Source organism: Homo sapiens, chromosome 15 (genome assembly GCF_000001405.40).
Source record: "Homo sapiens chromosome 15, GRCh38.p14 Primary Assembly".
NCBI classification, from domain to species: Eukaryota; Metazoa; Chordata; class Mammalia; order Primates; family Hominidae; genus Homo; species Homo sapiens.
This window is the reverse complement of record NC_000015.10, coordinates 49460387-49477901: the sequence shown is the minus strand read 5'-3', so window position 1 is coordinate 49477901 and position 17515 is coordinate 49460387. Positions and strand designations below refer to the sequence as shown.

Genomic DNA, 17515 nt, shown 5'->3' with positions numbered 1-17515 from the left:
AAACAACAATGAGATACCTCTGTACAACTATTAGCGTGACTAAACTCCAAAAAACTAACAGTGCTGTATGCTGGCAAGGATGCAAAGCAACCAAAACTCTTTCATTACTAGTGGGAATGCAAAATGGTGCAGTCACATGGGAAGACAGTTTGGCAGTTTCTTAAAAACTAAACATACTCTTACTATATAATCCAGCAGTCATGCCCCCAGGTTTTTGCCCAATTGAATTGAAAACTATGTCCACACAAAAACCTGAACATGACTATTTATAGAAGCTTTATTCGTATCATCAAAAACCAGACGCAACCCACATATCCAATAGGTAAATGGATAAACAAACTATGGTACACGTATACACTGGAATATTATTTAGCAATAAAAAGGTATTGAGCTGTGAAGCCACAAAAAGACAAGGGGAACCTTAAGTACATATTGCTAAGTGAAAGAAACCAGTCTGAAAAAGCCACATACTGTATGATTCCAGCCATATGACATTCTGGCAAAGGCAAAACTTTAGAGACAGTAGTATCAGTGGTGGCAAGGGCCTTGAGGAGAGCAGAAAAAGGATGAAAAGCTGAATCACAGGGGATTTTTAAATCAGTGAAACTATTCTGCGTAATACTGTAATAGTGGATACATGATATACATTTGTCAGAACTCATAGAACTATACAAAGCAAAACGTGGACCTTAGTATAAACTGATGGCATAAATAAATATTGGCTCATCTGTTGTAATAAATGTGCCACATTAGTGCAAGATATTTATAATGGAGGAACTGTGGGGGGAAATGGAGATTGTTTATGGGAACTCTATTATCTGCTCAATTTTTTTTTTTTTTTCGAGACAGAGTCTCGCTTTGTCGCCCAGGCTGGAGTGCAGTGGCGGGATCTCCGCTCACTGCAAGCTCCGCCTCCCAGGTTTGCACCATTTCCCTGCCTCAGCCTCCCGAGTAGCTGGGACTACAGGCACCCGCCACCACGCCCGGCTAATTTTTTTGTATTTTTAGTAGAGACGAGGTTTCACCGTGTTAGCCAGGATGGTCTCAATCTCCTGACCTTGTGATCTGCCCACCTCAGCCTCCCAAAGTGCTGGGATTACAGGCGTGAGCCACCACGCCTGGCCTATCTGCTCAATTTTTTTTGTAAATCTAAAAGTGTTCTAAAATACAAAGTCTACTAATTTTTAAATGCAGCTGACTTTAATAATATAATATCATTGAGTGTAGAGAAACTATTTGTACCGACATTTTACATTATTTATTTATGTCCAAAATATATAGAACATATGTGATTTATTAATTACTATTAAAAATGTCTTTGGTAATGGATTAAGATCTTCTTACCCAATGGATAACTTCTTTTTGTGAAATATGGACAGTAAAGAGGAGTAAGGTCATAATAAAAACACACTTTGGAAATTGTAGGATACAAATACTGGATATACAGACCACTGTTTCACTTGTTAAGTGTACAGTATCTCTCAGGTGTTTGGGAATGGAAAACAAGAGCCAGTAATATTTTAGAAACTTGATCTGATTACTTTAATTATGATATCCTATCTGGATATTAATAAATATATACAAAAATTCAGTTAGTATTTTCTTTTTCCACAGAAAAAATAAAATAAGTGATACCTGGCAGTATATGCCAAATGCAAAAAAAAAAAAACCAAAAACAAAAAAACAAAACAGCAAAATAAATAGGAATTCAGAAGAAAGAAGTGGTCAAGTGGTCAACGGAGGATTTGAGGAATAGATAGAGCTTGAATTAGATCTTGATGGATGAATAGAGTTGACATAGGTAGAAAAGATGGAAACATGCTAATTGAGAGATAAAAGTACTATGTGCAAGGCCATGGAAGCAAAGATTCAAAAGTCATGTTCAGAAGATTGAAACTAGAGCTGTATGTCTGGAATAGGAAGTGTAACAAAATAGTGAGAGGGTGGAAAAAGAGTTAGGGCCAAATTGTCAAGGGTCTTGAACCTCCCAGGATCAAGCAATTCTTGTTCCTCAGCCTCCCTTGTAGCTGCAATTACAGGCATGCGCCACCACGACCGCCTAATTTTTGTAATTTTAGTAGAGACCCGGTTTTGCCATGTTGGCCAGGCTGGTCTCAAACTCCTGACCTCAGGTGATTCACCTGCCTCAGCCTCCCAAAGGGTTGGGATTACAAGTATAAGCCACCGTGCCCGCCCCAGCTGTAAATTTTCTGCAAATTGTGTACATTCTTGGGAATTGTTACAAAGTAAAAAAAATATCAAATTGTTTTTAGATGTTATGAAAAAATTAATAAATTTAATAAATAATAAAGTTAGCATAATATTTTATTTGTTAAATATCTGCTAATCTGTATATTTTATTTTCAAATTTTACTGTCACTATCTTAATATTAAAGTTTAAATACATTTGCAAGCCTTTGAAATTTTCACAGGCTCCCATCTCTGTGCCTATAGGTCAAATGAATAAAATGTCCCTGCCCTTAACTCTGAAATCTTTTCAAAGGACTACCCTGGTTCCTTTTCACTAGCACCAACTTTCTTGAACACGTAGCCAGAATCTGCTCATTTTTCTTCAATTTAACTTTTGCATCCTAACTTCTAATCTCTTTATTGGCGTTCTCTCTTCAAACTCATGAATAAACTCCTAATTGCCAAATCCAAGAGTTCTTTCAGTAACACTTTATTTTATGCACTGTTTGGCTCACTTCACACTCCTTGTTCTATTCCTAATTCTCATGTTTCACTAATCATACACTACCGGAGTGCAGGGTGAAAAAATTAATCAAACTGATCAATTTTTGTGTAACCAATTCTATAGATCTTTTGTGATAATTTATTATATTGTATCTATGCTTAAAAGTATGTTTTCCATACCATTGTCTGAAATATAGTTTATTCTATCTTTTATAGTTTGAATTTTAAATATAAATTCAAATTATCTTAAATTCATCTGGAATTAATTCTGGGGTATGGTGTGAGATGATACTCTAAACCAACAGTCAGGGGACGGGAGCCGGGGGGAGGTTCAGGATGAAACTGTTCCACTTCAAATCGTCAGGCATTAGTGAGATTTTCGTACGGAGCACGCAACCTAGATCCCTGGCATATGCAGTTCACAATAGGGTTCACGCTCCTATGAGATTCTAATGCCACAGCTAATCTGACAGGAGGTGGAATGCTTGCTCACCCGCAGCTCATCTCCTGCTCTGCCGCCTAGTTCCTAACAGGCCATGGACCAGTACCGGTCCCCAGCCCAGGGGTTGGGGGCTCCTGCCGAAAACTGATATTTTATTCCTTGAAATAGCTATCTAGTATTTTCAACATTATTTATTAAACATTCTATTCCTTTTTTTACTGATGCCTCTCTTTTACCTTTTATTGACTGTTTTGTCCCATTGATTTACCTGTCTGTCAGCTATATAATCTCATTAATTTATTGTAGGTTACCAGTTTTCAGGTGGTTCATTACATTTACAAGTAGCTCTGATTGTGTTACCAATTATACGTGAATATATCCTCTGAAGCTATGCAGAATAAATCAATACCATTTCCACATAACAGCCCTTGAAAGAGGTGAAGACATTGATCATGCTTCCCATTATCCTTAGTTTCTTTGGCCCTTTCTCATACGGTATGAATTCCAGACTCTTTACCAGCTACATTATTTACTAAAAATAAGTATCTCAGCAAGAACTGGGCTGATATAGATAGCCTAAGACAGAATAGTGTTCATTATTTTCCTTGATATAGACCATAAATGTATTTTACAGTAATACAATCTCACCATCTCCTTAAAAATATTTTAAATCCTGTCATTATTTTAGAGTTTGAATATAATAAAAAGTTCGCCTATCAAAAATACATTTTGTTTTAGGTTAGTATATTTTTCAAGGTTATATTATAAAGTTTGTTTAAATATGTATTATATATAAAGGCAAATGTCAACTGTTCCCCTGCAACAAATGATGAATGTTCCTCATTTTCTTTACATTAATTATGTTTTTAAAAACCTCATGATTTTTGAAAAAATACATTTTAAAATGACCTCATACAGCATGTGTAGAATTAAAAGTGAGTTAAATAAATATATGTTGAAATATAAATGTTATAACATCAAAGATGACAAAATCTAGTTTTGGAATCTAATCATTAAAATTCTTTCTATGCTTTAAAAAAATTAGCTCACTTATTTTTACAATTTCTTTGGTTTCCAAATGTTGAAATAAGAGAAATAGTTTTATTCTTCTATTTGTAAATAGTGCTCCATAAATAAAATATTGCTGGGGTAGAGAGTCATTATACCCCTCCAAAACGTGAGACCAACTCCAATATGATTGTCACAATATTTTCTGTAACATACAAGTTATTTAACAAGTATTTACTGAGTGTTTATTGCCAGACCCATTCTTGGCACTAGGACTGTAGTGATCTGAAGAAAATTATCTAAAAGTTAACTGTAAATTGTCAAATATACATCAATTTAAAAAATAAAAGCGAATTTTGGAGTTATTTTATGCTTCTAATAACTTATATTTAACTCAATGTTCTTTATACTTTCTCTTGTTAACCAATGGTTTGTTAAGGTTATAAATTTAGCAGCATATGACAATGAATGAACTTATTTATATAATAGTGAACATCATCATGACTTCATTAAATGACAAAAGGATGAGTTAACTAAACTGTGAGTAAATCTGTCTCATCTTTCTAAATTCCTGGCATTCATATTTGATATGTTTGTGGAGGCACTCAAACCATTCTTTTCTAAATTGAAAAAATACAAAAATGTTTTTAAAAAATATTCAGTTGAAAAAAGATTACAGTATGCCTTTAGTTAAATTAATCCCCCAAGTACCTTTGGAAACATGAGTGGTCCACATACAATTGCTTAAGAAATGGTGAGTTTTAATTCAGCCACTTTAATTCTGTTTATAATTTGGCATGGAATAAATCACAAATAACTGATACATGAGTATATTAAAATGTATGGTACCCAAAAAATTAGATACTCCTTTCTCTTATTTGTCATTAGCAAATTTGGGAAATGTCTTCATCTGTAATGTCATGTAACTTTTCCATCTACTATTTATCATTACATCTGTGCTTTTTTTCTACCCATTTGAAGTTACACGTTTTGATTCTAGCCCTTTTCTTATGAGGCATAATAAGCTTTCTATTCTCTTCTTGTCATATCTTTGCCCCTTAAGTCTTCAAGCTTATGACAGTATAATGTCATTCATTGTGATGTTCATTCCTTCAATCATATGTACGCATTTTTCTCCCCAACTTTCTGAGCAAAGACTTTTAATTGTTCCCAACTTTTATTCTCTCCTTTTTCCATAGCAATAGAATTTTTAGCTGACTGCACAAAATAAACTTTCCATTTCCCAGTCTTTTTTGCAGCTTAATGTGGCCATGTGACCAAGTTTTAGCTGATGCGATTTAACTGAAGTGTCCTATGGCAACTTCCAAAAGTCTTCCATAAAAGGTACCCAGCAGAAGCCCTTTATGCTCACTTTTAATCACTTTATTCCACCTTCCTGCTGGAATTTGGATTCTACCTTGGGTTATGAGAACAAAGAGATTATGGAACGGTGAGCTAAATGGACTTGGAAACTTCCAGATGTTTTTGTGGAGCAGAGTTGTCACTCCTCCAGATGTTTATTGCATGGAGAAATAAACAATTTTTTAAGCCAAACTGAATCTTAACTAATGCACCCCAATTTCACTTTACTTCAAATGCGTTCTTCATAAAATGTACATAAAACTCCAGGAGCCTATTTTTTCAGTTATTCTAAGCTAACAGCCAGAAAGACAAGTCTTATTTTCAACACTGTTGTTAATGGCCAGGTGTTTACTTTCACAGCTTTTTTTTTTTTTTCACTTCTAAAGTCATGAGATAAAACTAGAAGAAAAAATGAAAACAACACCTGTGCTGTCATGTCTTTCACTTTCTTATCCAGAACTTCACTGTCACGAGGGATTCCAAGTTTCTTCCGGTGCTGTCATTTATTCCTGCATGTGTCAGCATTTAGTTAGCTTGATACGTCTTTTCTGGCTGCCCTTTAGATCTTGATACACGTGTCAGGAAGACCACAGCTCCCCACTCAGCAAACTGTCAAACCTGTGTTCAGCTGCTTCCTAGCCAAGAAATTACCTAATGTCAGCTAGCTTTTCTGGATGCTCATTATTGTTACATAAAGCATGAGATGCTGTTGTCACTCTCAAAAAGACCAGATTCGCCATTCTTGATTAGAAAATCATAACTTTCCATTTTTGAATAAAACAAGTCATTGATTACTTAACTATGTTCAGTACTCTACATATCTGTCATCTTTCTTCTGTATATAAATTCATTACATTTGCCATATTATTATTATTATTATTATTATTATTATTATTATTATTATTATTATTTTGAGATAGAGTCTCACTCTGTAGCTCAGGCTATAGTGCAGTGGCGCCATCTAGGTGCACTACAACCTCCGCCTCTCAGGTTCAAGCAATTCTCCTCCTTCAGCCTCCTGAGTAGCTGTAATTACAGGTTGTGCCACCACACCAGCTAATTTTTGTATTTTTAGTAGAGGAGGGGTTTTGCCATGTTAGCCAGGCTAGTCTCGAACTCCTGACCTAGGTGATCCACCCACCTCGGCCTCCCAAAGTGCTGGGATTACAGGCACGAGTCACTGTATCCGGCCTCACATTTGCCATATTCTTAATGATGGTTTGGATTCCCTAGCCTCTTTAGAATTTTTCTTCTTGGCTTCCTTTCTGAATTAGTTTTTCTACTCCCTTTAAAAGTACTTATCTTTTCTAATAAGCTGTAGCATAGAAAAGAGTATCAACAAGACTTTTCACTTTCACATCTACTCAAGAAAAACAGTTTATATTATACATGAATTGGTAACCATCTCAGGCACAAGATGTGGAACAAACACAACAAATATGTTCCAGGTGGGCTGCAGTAGTTCCCTTGGTGTCCTTACATCCTGGAATTTCTCCCAGCAAGCTGTTTGAGTTCTTGGATGTATTTCTTTTCATTCTTTCTAGATGACACCCTTGTCACTGCATTTCTACTTCATTGATCTTCTAGAAAGTGATACATAATACTGGAATGTACCACCTTAATGTCAAACTTCAGCAAATATGATAGATCACAAATACTCATTTATACTTAACAGCAATGATCCAAATTATTTCTATCACATTTACACATTCCTCTTGCTATGCCCATTTTTTCAACTTCCAGGCCCAATGGATGTTGAGGCTAAAGCAAAAGAAGTTAGAGAAGTCAAATATCATTTCAAACACAGGTCATTTTGAGAATTAAGGTATCATAAAAGTTAAGGGGATGCTATTTTTACTAGGTGGGAGTGATAATGTGTTGGAGTTTTTATGAAGATATTAAGTTTGAAGTGATAGTGGTTTTGTATATACTTGTCCTAAATTTGGCATAAGAAAATCACTTTGTGATCTAGATCCACAGTGAAATTGTAGCTGTACTAGATATGTAGGATCAACAGAATTGCTTATTGGTAATAAAAAAGAAATTTGCTCAGCACCAAAAAATTTCATATCTGACTTTTTAAAATATAGTGATAATGATAGTGTTTTAATTTTAAAAATATTTAATATGTACTCAGTGTTCCCAGTGTTAAAGAATTATAAGGTGCCACTTAAAGTATTCTCACATGTGGTTTTTCTATCCCTGTCTTCCTCTTTAATTTACAATCTACAGTAACATTTTAGAATTCCATCATTTTCCACGCTTTGATCATAATACCGTGGTCTTCAAAAGATGGAGCAACATTAGAATGTCCCATTTTGATTATGGTTGTATGCAGGGCTTAAATTTTACCAGAGAATTAAGAAATATGTTAAAGCATAGCTACCATTTCTATTTAATGCCATCCTCTAATGAAAAGATGGAATCATTAAACTCTTAATTGTACTGTGAAGGTGAGAATTCTTTGGTTTGATGTGGATTTACATTTTCTCCATTCTCTTTATCACCATTTCTCATTTTGAGTTTGCTTATCATTATGACTTCTTAGAGTCGTAAAAAATTGAAAGATAATGACAATATGTTTCAGCCAGTAGCTTCTCAATCTCATTACTGCTATTATCAATCACTTTTAAAGGCATAACTTAGTTGTAACCAGTGTCTTGATAATGAAGATTATTTCATTCTCTGACAACTGCTAATTAGTTCTTGCAAATGAAGTTCCTTGGCTACTTTTTGTCTGCCTTATAGTAAAATCAAGGAATTTAAGTAAATACTTTATTGAATTATTTCAATTCAATACTTTATTGAAGCAACACCTAATAATTTAATTCATAAGCCACTGTTTTGGCCTTGACTACAGAAATAAATTTTTCTTGTTCTGACTCTAAGAAAGGGAGTAAAAATTGTGCCATGAAAAGCCAAGTGATTTGTTGGTCTGAGATTTCAGAATGAAGTAAAGATAGTGCTTATAAATCACATATAATGTATTAAAATTAAATATAATTGTAATGCTCCATATCCTTCAAGTAGAAATAGAATTAAATTTAATTTAATTTTAAGAGTATCCCTGGAATAAACAGCAGTTTTCTGTATAGACAGTATTCGATAAGTGGTATAATTATCTCTAACCAAGAAATGTTTCTCTAAAAGAAAATATGTTTGAAAACAGAGTAATATAATTTTATATCAACTGTTATAGACAAATGTCTTATAAGAAAATAAATGACTCAAGTACCATTTTACATTTATTTCATTCAGTCTTACATTTATTTTACAGATGTTTTATGAGTCATTTATTTTCTTGTAAACAACTTGTATAAGTTACCTCCATCATGAACCAAGTCAAAATCATGTAAGATATATACATATACATAAAACATGTAGCTGTATTTTTTTAAGGTGTCAACCTGAAACATAAGCAAATGACCTTTAGTAATGTATGCATGTTATTCAAAATTGACTTTTTCAAAAGTGACAGTGAAATAGAAAAAGCCCAAATTATGAGCACTGAAGTTGAAATAAACTTGTTCCATCAGTTAAGCAGAGTGACTGCTTAACACGGAAGACAAACCTCTTTTGTCAGTGCTAGTATTGGGATAGGACCATTAACTGGATATGCTGTGCACATGTTGGCTTTGCTGCCTGGAGGGAATGATTCAATGTTTGAGTTAGGAAAGAATTGAGTTCACTTTCTCCACATTTCTTTATTGACTTTCACTTTGAAGGGGCAACACAAAGGACTCTGTGGAGGTAGTGACCTCCAGCAGGCTGGATACAGAACCTGCTTCCAGGTTTTTCTCTTTTCCCATGAACCCTGAAGTCCACTATTGTAAAAAAACACAATGATACATATGGTTGATAATACTAATCTTGTCGTTGGATCACTTTACCCTAAGAAAGCATGCCCTGTAGCTGTTAAATAACAGATTTAAGTCAGAACCTTGGAATACACTAAAAGAAATTAGAAAACTAATTGAAGCCTGCAAGAAAGAAACACAAGTAGATAAATTATTACTGAAACCCAGAAAGTATAATTCCCCTCAAATTAGCATGAAATTCAAAATAGTTCCACATGATTGCATAATTGCTGGTATCAAGTATAACTGAAATGTCCTGCAACAAGAGAACTGATTCCACATCATCCTCATTATTAGGGAATAAATCAAACATACTTCTTATTAATCCCATATATATTTTATAATGATGTCAAAAACCATTTAAATGACATGTCTGGTTAACCAAAAATAATTATGTCATTCATTCAGGGATTTATTAAGAAAATAAAACATTAGAAAATCTTTAGAAAGTACATCAGCATGTGGTACAATTATAGCAATACTTTCTTTTGAAAGAATTTAAGTTGCAGCAGCTTGTTTCAGCAGCGTTAGAACTATATCAGAATTTGAAGCAAACTATTCGGTTGTGCAATATACAGTGTGATATTTATCCAGTAGCATATTACTGAAGAATGTCATGGGAACATCATTGAACTGTATTGCACAGACTTATATTTCTATACCAATTTACTGATCGTTTTCCTTATCATTTATGGCCTCTCAGGAATGCAAGGGACCCACCTTTCTCCTTTGGGCCAGAGAAGATATATTCCCTGAATCAGACAGGAGGAAATACTCTTTGTTTACTCTCTAATCACTAAAGATTCTAAACTTTTATACAGAAAGAATTATTTGTCTGACAATGTAGACTATTTACATCTGCTAAATACAACACTGTGTTTTTTTAAAAATGGCTCCAAAATTATCAGAATAGGTGTGGATATTATAGTCCCAGAACATGTGAGAAAGTATCAGATTTTTATATGAAATGGAAATAGTTGAAGCAATCTCTTCCCACCATCTAGAAAATCTCTTCCATTTTCTGGATTTTCCTAAAGTCTAAAATATCTTCAGCAGGAAACCAGATTTTCATTACATAGGATGAGAGGTAAGTTTCAAAATACAAATGTACCAGGGAGGAGTTAACACCTATGCATAAATTTATACTGTGTATAAGTGACTATACCTTCTCTGAGAGCAGAATTTGATGGGGCTAGAAGAAAGTGATCACAAGGGCACTAAGAGTGAAATTGAAGGGGGAAAATGGTCAGAAAAAGAAGTTATAGAAACTTTCATTAACGTTTTGTTCATAGCTACCTCTAGGAGTCACAAAGCATGTTATGCTACACTTTATCTAATTCAGAGACAGCAGCTTAGATGATAAACTACACATCCACTTTCTCCCTTTATTTTAAATACTAATATACTCCGTGAAACTTACCATCCAGTAGATATATAATGTAATCTTTCTTCCCTCCCTCTTTAACTTGTGTCTAAATGTTCTGCTACCCAGGCATAAGATAATTCTAAACATTTTGGTTTCAAATCATGCTGGTCATCAGCATGGAAAAATTAAAGCACGATTTAAAGTCATTTTGGTCATTGGCTTTCTTAGCACTTTTAAAGCATATGCTCTTTGCTAGCAGTCTAAACAAGGAATTCTTATGTGGAGTAGTTAATATTTTTTCACAGAAATGAAAGTGAAAGGAAAAAGAGGCAGAAATAAAAACATCTGAGTTTACTTAAAAAGATAATTAAAAAATTTAAAAAGGGTTAAAGACCCCCAAGCTCTTACCAGAAACAATTATGTTTCCTCTCTATATTACCAATGTATATCCAGCCGTTCTCTTCTGTTTCCATTGCCATCACATTAGTCCAGGCCTTCATTTTCTTGTGCCTCAACTATTATTATAGTTTCTTAGCTAGACCTTTGCCTCCAGCCCTTCTGACTTTAACCCTTTATGTATTCATAAGATATATGTTATAAAGGTTACTCTTCTGCTTCAAAAGTTTCAGTGGTATACTCTATTAAAAACAAAAGCAAACAAAAACCTCTTTTATTTACTATCCAAAGCTCTCCAAAATCTGACTCCAGCCTACATAATTTTCTCCCATTTTTCTTCTACAACTTAGAAGATCCTTTGACTTCAAACAGATTTACTAATTGTCTTCCTCTCCCATGCAAAATGTCAGTCTCTACCTGCTCTGCCTACCAGTTCCTGGAATTACATAGAATGCTCTACTCAAGTACTTCCCAAATATTGCCTCATGGACTGATTGCATGGAATCACAAGATGAACTCTAAAAGATTTTCAGGTTTCCAGTTCCCGTTCCTCAGAAAGTCTGATCCAACAGGTCTGAGGTGAAGCTTGATAATTAGTATTTTAACAGCTTCCACCTACCTGAGTACCCAAATTGAAATTCCAGTTTCTCCATAGTGATTAGTAGTTTCCTAATCTGTTGTCATCTATTTTACTTTAAGAACATACTGCTGTACTATTAATTAGCACCCACCTCTATTGTTCTCTTGTTATTTATAAATTTTGCCTGTTTTTAAATCTAGGTTGTAGACTATTTGAAGAGACTATCTTATGCTTCAGCTAACCCCCAGTACTTGGTACAGGGATTTGTATTTGACACACCCTCAATAAATGACAAAAACACCATATTAAGTAGTGTGTCAAATTATAAGTTGGCATATGATTGTTATTATTCCAAGATTAAAGAATTAACAAGTTTTCTAATCATACTAAATGTCGAAAAACTAAGGTTAGATTGAATAACAAAAGTATTTGCTAAATTTCCTTCTAATTTTCATTACATTTTGGAGTTTAATTAAATAAGCACAAAATTCCTTGGTTAATTTAAATAATACTTTATCTCAGATTGTATTTTATGATGCCAACTCAAAAAAGTTGAGAGAACCCCAAATATCTCTGGTTTTTCAATCAATTATAGGTCTCTCTTTTTTGGTTTTGGCTAAATCTCTCTTGAATCTATTTATATTTTCAACATGCAACACTCATATTATGGGTAACAACTTACATATGTTTTCTATGTACTCTGTAAGATAGCATATCTATTTATCTATCTTGCTCCTAACACATTAACACTTTAAGAAGTAGGCCGGGCATGGTGGCTCACGCCTGTAATCCCAGCACTTTGGGAGGCCGAGGTGGGCAGATCACTTGAGCTCAGGAGTTCGAGCAGCCTGGCCAACATGGTGAAACCCATCTCTACCAAAAAAAAAAAAAAGAAAAAGAAAAGCCAGACATGGTGGCAGGTGCCTGTAATCCCACCTACTTGGGAGGCTGAGGCAGGAGAATCGCTTTAACCTAGGAGGCAGAGGTTGCAGTGAGTTGAGATCGTGTTACTGCACTCTAGCCTGAGCAACAGTGCGAGACTCCATCTCAAAAAATAAAATAAAAATAAAATTAAGAAGGACATTCTACTTCTAATATTTCATGAGTTATCCAAGCCTCTGTTCTTATCCATATTATGATTTTATATACATTGAATACAGTCCATTATAGTTTCTTAACTAGACATTTATAACATTATAGTTTCTTAATTAGAAACTAGTTAAGGTGTTTATTATCACCTTAATAAACATTTATTATTCTAGATGATAGCCAAAATGTTTTTTAGGTATGTCATGTATGTCTTACGTTATTCATTTATTCATTCTAATTGCAGGATGCTTCCATTGTACTGTATAGTTTTTATTAACGCTAAGCAAGGAGAATGGCATCTGTCTTCCAGATGTAGATGCACCACACTGTTTACACGGAGATACTATGTGTTCTGTTTTGTGTCTTACATTCTTCCTGATAGTGTCCATTACTTTATTGGTCATTTGGGACCACTGCACATTAAGATAACATTTTTATGGGAACATCTGAAATGATTTATTGGTGTCATTTTTGCAAGAAAATCATTATTCAGTGACTTTTATCTTGTATAATTTAAATTTTATTACAAAATTCAATACATTAAAAGTCATCTGCCAGTTTTTTGCCTACCTATATATAAATGTTCTGTCTTCCAGCATTTTATCATCATTAGCTTAGTTCATGAATTTAGAGATGTTAGCCCAACCTACAAACTTAGAATTTTCACTACACGTACATACTTTTAGATCATTTATAAAAATGTCAACTAAGTTGGATCATTTTAGAGGAATCTCACTGTTAACACATTTTTATTTAAAATATTAATTCAAACTAATTCCTTTTCTGTTTCTCTTTTAAGAACCAGTGATTCTCAACATGATAGACTAGAGGTGGGGGCAGAAATTGTTGGGCAAAAAATATCCTTCGGGAAATAAAGTGTCAGAATCACCGCTTTTTAAATCTACACATACTCTGTGGAGATTCTGATTACCTACCCTCCCTACACCCTCGTTTAGAAAATCCATCCCCTGCCTAACCCATCCTTCATGAGGCTTATCACAGTAGTTAGCCAATGAAACTAATAGAATTATTGTCCATACAGCAGGTGTTTGGGGATGGAAAAAAAAATCACAACTTATTCAAAGCCAGGTTTTAAAAAGTGTCTCACCTCCGCCAATGAAAAAGATCAGCTTTATCCTAGGATAAAAATAGTAACTCTAAAGCAAACAAACAAAAAACAAACAAAAACCTTGTTTGTTGAGCCACATCAAATCAGTTTGAAGTAGTCTAAAAAACGATATTTCTGTGCTTATAAGAGCGTTAGCAAATACTTACAATTTTCCCCTTACAGAAGCTGCCTTGCCTTTCCTCAGAATCTATTCCATAAACATTATAAGTACTTTGTAGCAGCATAGTAGTGAAACAGAAAATCAGACAGAAGGAACTGTGTGAGAAAGGCACAGAAGCATAAAACACTGTGGCATTTGGGGGTTAACTTGGTGTGCTTGCAACTTATACACAGCGAACTTCCAGGAAAAGAAATAAGAAATATAGGCAGGGCTAGACCATTAAGAACTTATGCAGCTAGTTGAGTTTGGATATTTTTTTTTTTTTTTTGAGACGGAATCTCACTGTGTCGCCTAGGCTGGAGTGCAGTGGCACAATCTCAGCTCACTGAAACCTCTGCCTTCCGGGTTCCAGTGATTCTCCTGCGGCCTCCCAAGTAGCTGGGATTACAGGCGCCCATCACCACACCCAGGTAATTTTTGTATTTTTAGTAGAAGTGGGGTTTCACTATGTTGGCCAGGCTGGTCTTGAACCCCTGATTTCAGGTGATCCACCCACCTCAGCCTCCCAGAGTGCTGGGATTACAGGTGTGAGCCACTGTGCCTGGCCGAATTTGAATTTTTATTCTGTAGAGGATGGTAAGCCACTGAAAAGTTTAGAAAAATACTTCTAGCAGCAGTGTGGGAGATAAATTGGCAAGAGGCAAGACCAGTGAAGAGATTGTAGTACTGATCTAAGCAGGAGCTGATGGAGGCCTACTCCAGGGCAAGAATCGTCAGGATTGGGAGAGAGTGAACTTGTTTCTTCAAACAGGTTATATTTCCATAAATGGTTCATATAGATCCTGAATCTATTTTGAGTGATTTAAGACACAAACTCTTTAAAGACCTCAAAGTATTGTTGATATTTAGAGAATCCAATAATGCTATATTTATCATGACACAGTTCCATTCTGCCAAAATTGAATGTATAAAGTGCCTTAGGACCTAGAGAATAAAATGTATTTATTTATTTTGAATGTAATATCGTTTATAATTTATCAATAATCTTTCAGAATACAGTCATCCTTTCTATACATGCCAAAGTCTTCACTAGTCTAAGCTGCTTTCATAATCTGATATATCATATCTTATCTTTCAAAGTTGTATTTTAACTTAATTGGAAGTAAAATAAATTGAATGAGAGAAAGAGGAAGGAAGAGCAGTCATAGAATCTGTGAGCAACAGTGAGTTAGCTTTCCTCTTCTTGGTAAGAGTTACTGTAGCCTACCCTTACCTCCCTACTCTATACTTTCCAGTTCTGTGCCAACGAAAGTGGATCATGCACAATGAATGAAAGATACAAAGTTAAAATAGAATCAGTAGAGACTTTTTAACAAATTATGTTAGAAATTATATTTGCCCATGCTGGAAAAGAGAATTATGAGACTGGACTAAAAATACTTCTGGACTAAGGCCAGCTCTCTAGTGAGTACAAGGGGAAAAAGCATTGTGATTAAGAAATATCATCCGAAAATTTCTAAATTTAGTAAATATATGTTAGGAGCTTACTATTTATCTTGCAAAATACATGTTTAGAAATTATTTTCTACAAGATATTTTAAATAATGAGACCACTTTCAGTGTACTCATATATGATTAAAGTACAAAAAAGCAATAATCAATCTTTTTTTCATCCCAGATCCTCCTAAGTCATCCCAGATCCTCACACATTTCTCCTTTCACCATGCTCTCATACTGCCTTTAAATACAATTTTTTTTTTGAGATGGAGTCTCACTCTGTCACCCAGGCTGGAGTACAGTGGCACGATCTCAGCTCACTGCAACCGCCACCTGCCAGGTTCAAGCAATTTCTGACTAATTTTTGTATTTTTAGTAGAGATGGGATTTTGCCATGTTGGCCAGGCTGGTCTCGAACTCCTTACCTCAAGTAATCTGCCTGCTTCGGCCTCCCAAAGTGCTAGGATTACAGAGCCACTGCCCCTGGGCAATAATCAGTCTTAAAGCTATGTGTATTAGATAAATGAGGTTACCCTAGTAACCATATGTAGATAGAGAGCTTGCAGTTGTTTAATTTGAAATTAAATCAGTACCATAATTAGCATAAGAAAATTCAACTTGAATTTCACATGGTATCTCTTTAAGTTTTAATGGAGTATAAAAATTTTTCCTCAAAAAAATAAGGATTGCTCTTATTCTTTTTGATGCTTTGAGAATGTACATATTGTACCTGCACTATCTGAATACATAGTGTACAACTTATTCTAGCCAGTATTTGCAGGGATTAACTTCATATGCCTAAATTAAACAGAAGTACGTGGCTCTTTCAAAGAGATAGACAAGACATCTAGCAGTAAGTAGGAGAAGTATAGAGCATGAAATATGCAGTTTCTCAGATTAGCTAAAGTCTGCATTGAAAAATAGACATGATGTCAGATAAGCCACTCCTCTTTTTATAGTTTGGATGATGGCCAAGGAATATGTATTTAATGTTTTTCAAATCTGCATAAAATGAAGCAGAGTTATTGACTGTATACCTACTCAGTATCTAACATTGTGCATGGATTTTTACAGGGAATACAAAAAATAAATTGTTAGCTCTCTATCTTTGAGGAACTAATTGCCTTTTGAGATAATGAGACCTGCAATTAGCCCAAATGACAAGGAAGACTCTAAGTGGCAAAGTAGTAAGGAAGAGAAAAGATCTGTCACTAGTCTAGTCGAGGAGGACTTCAACAGATAGGAAGAAGAAGTTCATCAGGATGGAAGAGATATTTAAGTCAGGGAGAAACATACTAGAAGGAAATAGACTAAGAAAAATGGCAGAGGTGGGATGAAGGGTAGTATTTTCAGGGGAAGGCTGGCCCCACAAGATGAATATCACTCATTCTTTATGGTCTACATGGATGCCAGCTATCAACACTGAGCTTTGACATAGTGGAATTTGGCTTGGACAGTATTCCTTTAAGAAAGAAAAATTAAAAACAAACCAAATGCATTCTGAAAAAGACAAAACAAAACATAATCAAACAAACAATGTTCTTCTTTGATATCTGCCTCACACACAAAGCTTTGCCCTCTAATATGTCTCTGCTAAGGACAGAAAATCATATTGCCAAAACAAAGAAGCTGCACAGTTTTTATAAGTGCCAGAGGGGTTTTAGATTGTTTAATTATTATATACATGACTGGTATCAAGAGTCCTATTTTTTTCAGACTATAATGAATACAATGTGTGTGGGTTAAAATATTTGTTTTCTGACTTGGCTGTTGCTAGAACATTTTTGGGATTGGCCAGTACTCCCACCTCGAATATTTGGTAATGATCGCCTGAACTGTGAAGAAATGTCAAAATATAAGTAGTAAAAACATAGTCCTTCAAAAAGAATCCTGGTACCACAGATTTAGAATTTGAGCTAATTTGAGCACATGCATTCAGACTTTGCAGTGGAATCAGAGATCATATATGGACACCCACTACACAACTAAAACACT

At 34.7% G+C, this 17515-nt stretch overlaps 2 protein-coding genes across 28 annotated transcripts in view, besides 1 other annotated feature; one reads left to right on the top strand and one right to left on the bottom strand.

The window, feature by feature from the left end:
* FAM227B (family with sequence similarity 227 member B) overlaps positions 1-17515 on the top strand; it is a 293849-nt gene that overhangs the window by 142917 nt on the left and 133417 nt on the right. The gene's annotated exons all lie outside the window — the stretch shown is intronic.
* FGF7 (fibroblast growth factor 7) overlaps positions 1-17515 on the bottom strand; it is a 65534-nt gene that overhangs the window by 10874 nt on the left and 37145 nt on the right. The gene's annotated exons all lie outside the window — the stretch shown is intronic.
* Positions 5794-5843: an enhancer, noted in NCBI's record as "active region_9387". NCBI's record gives its function as "activates an Ori minimal core promoter by ATAC-STARR-seq in GM12878 lymphoblastoid cells {active_cell/tissue: GM12878}" and the evidence as "EXISTENCE:reporter gene assay evidence [ECO:0000049][PMID:35858748]".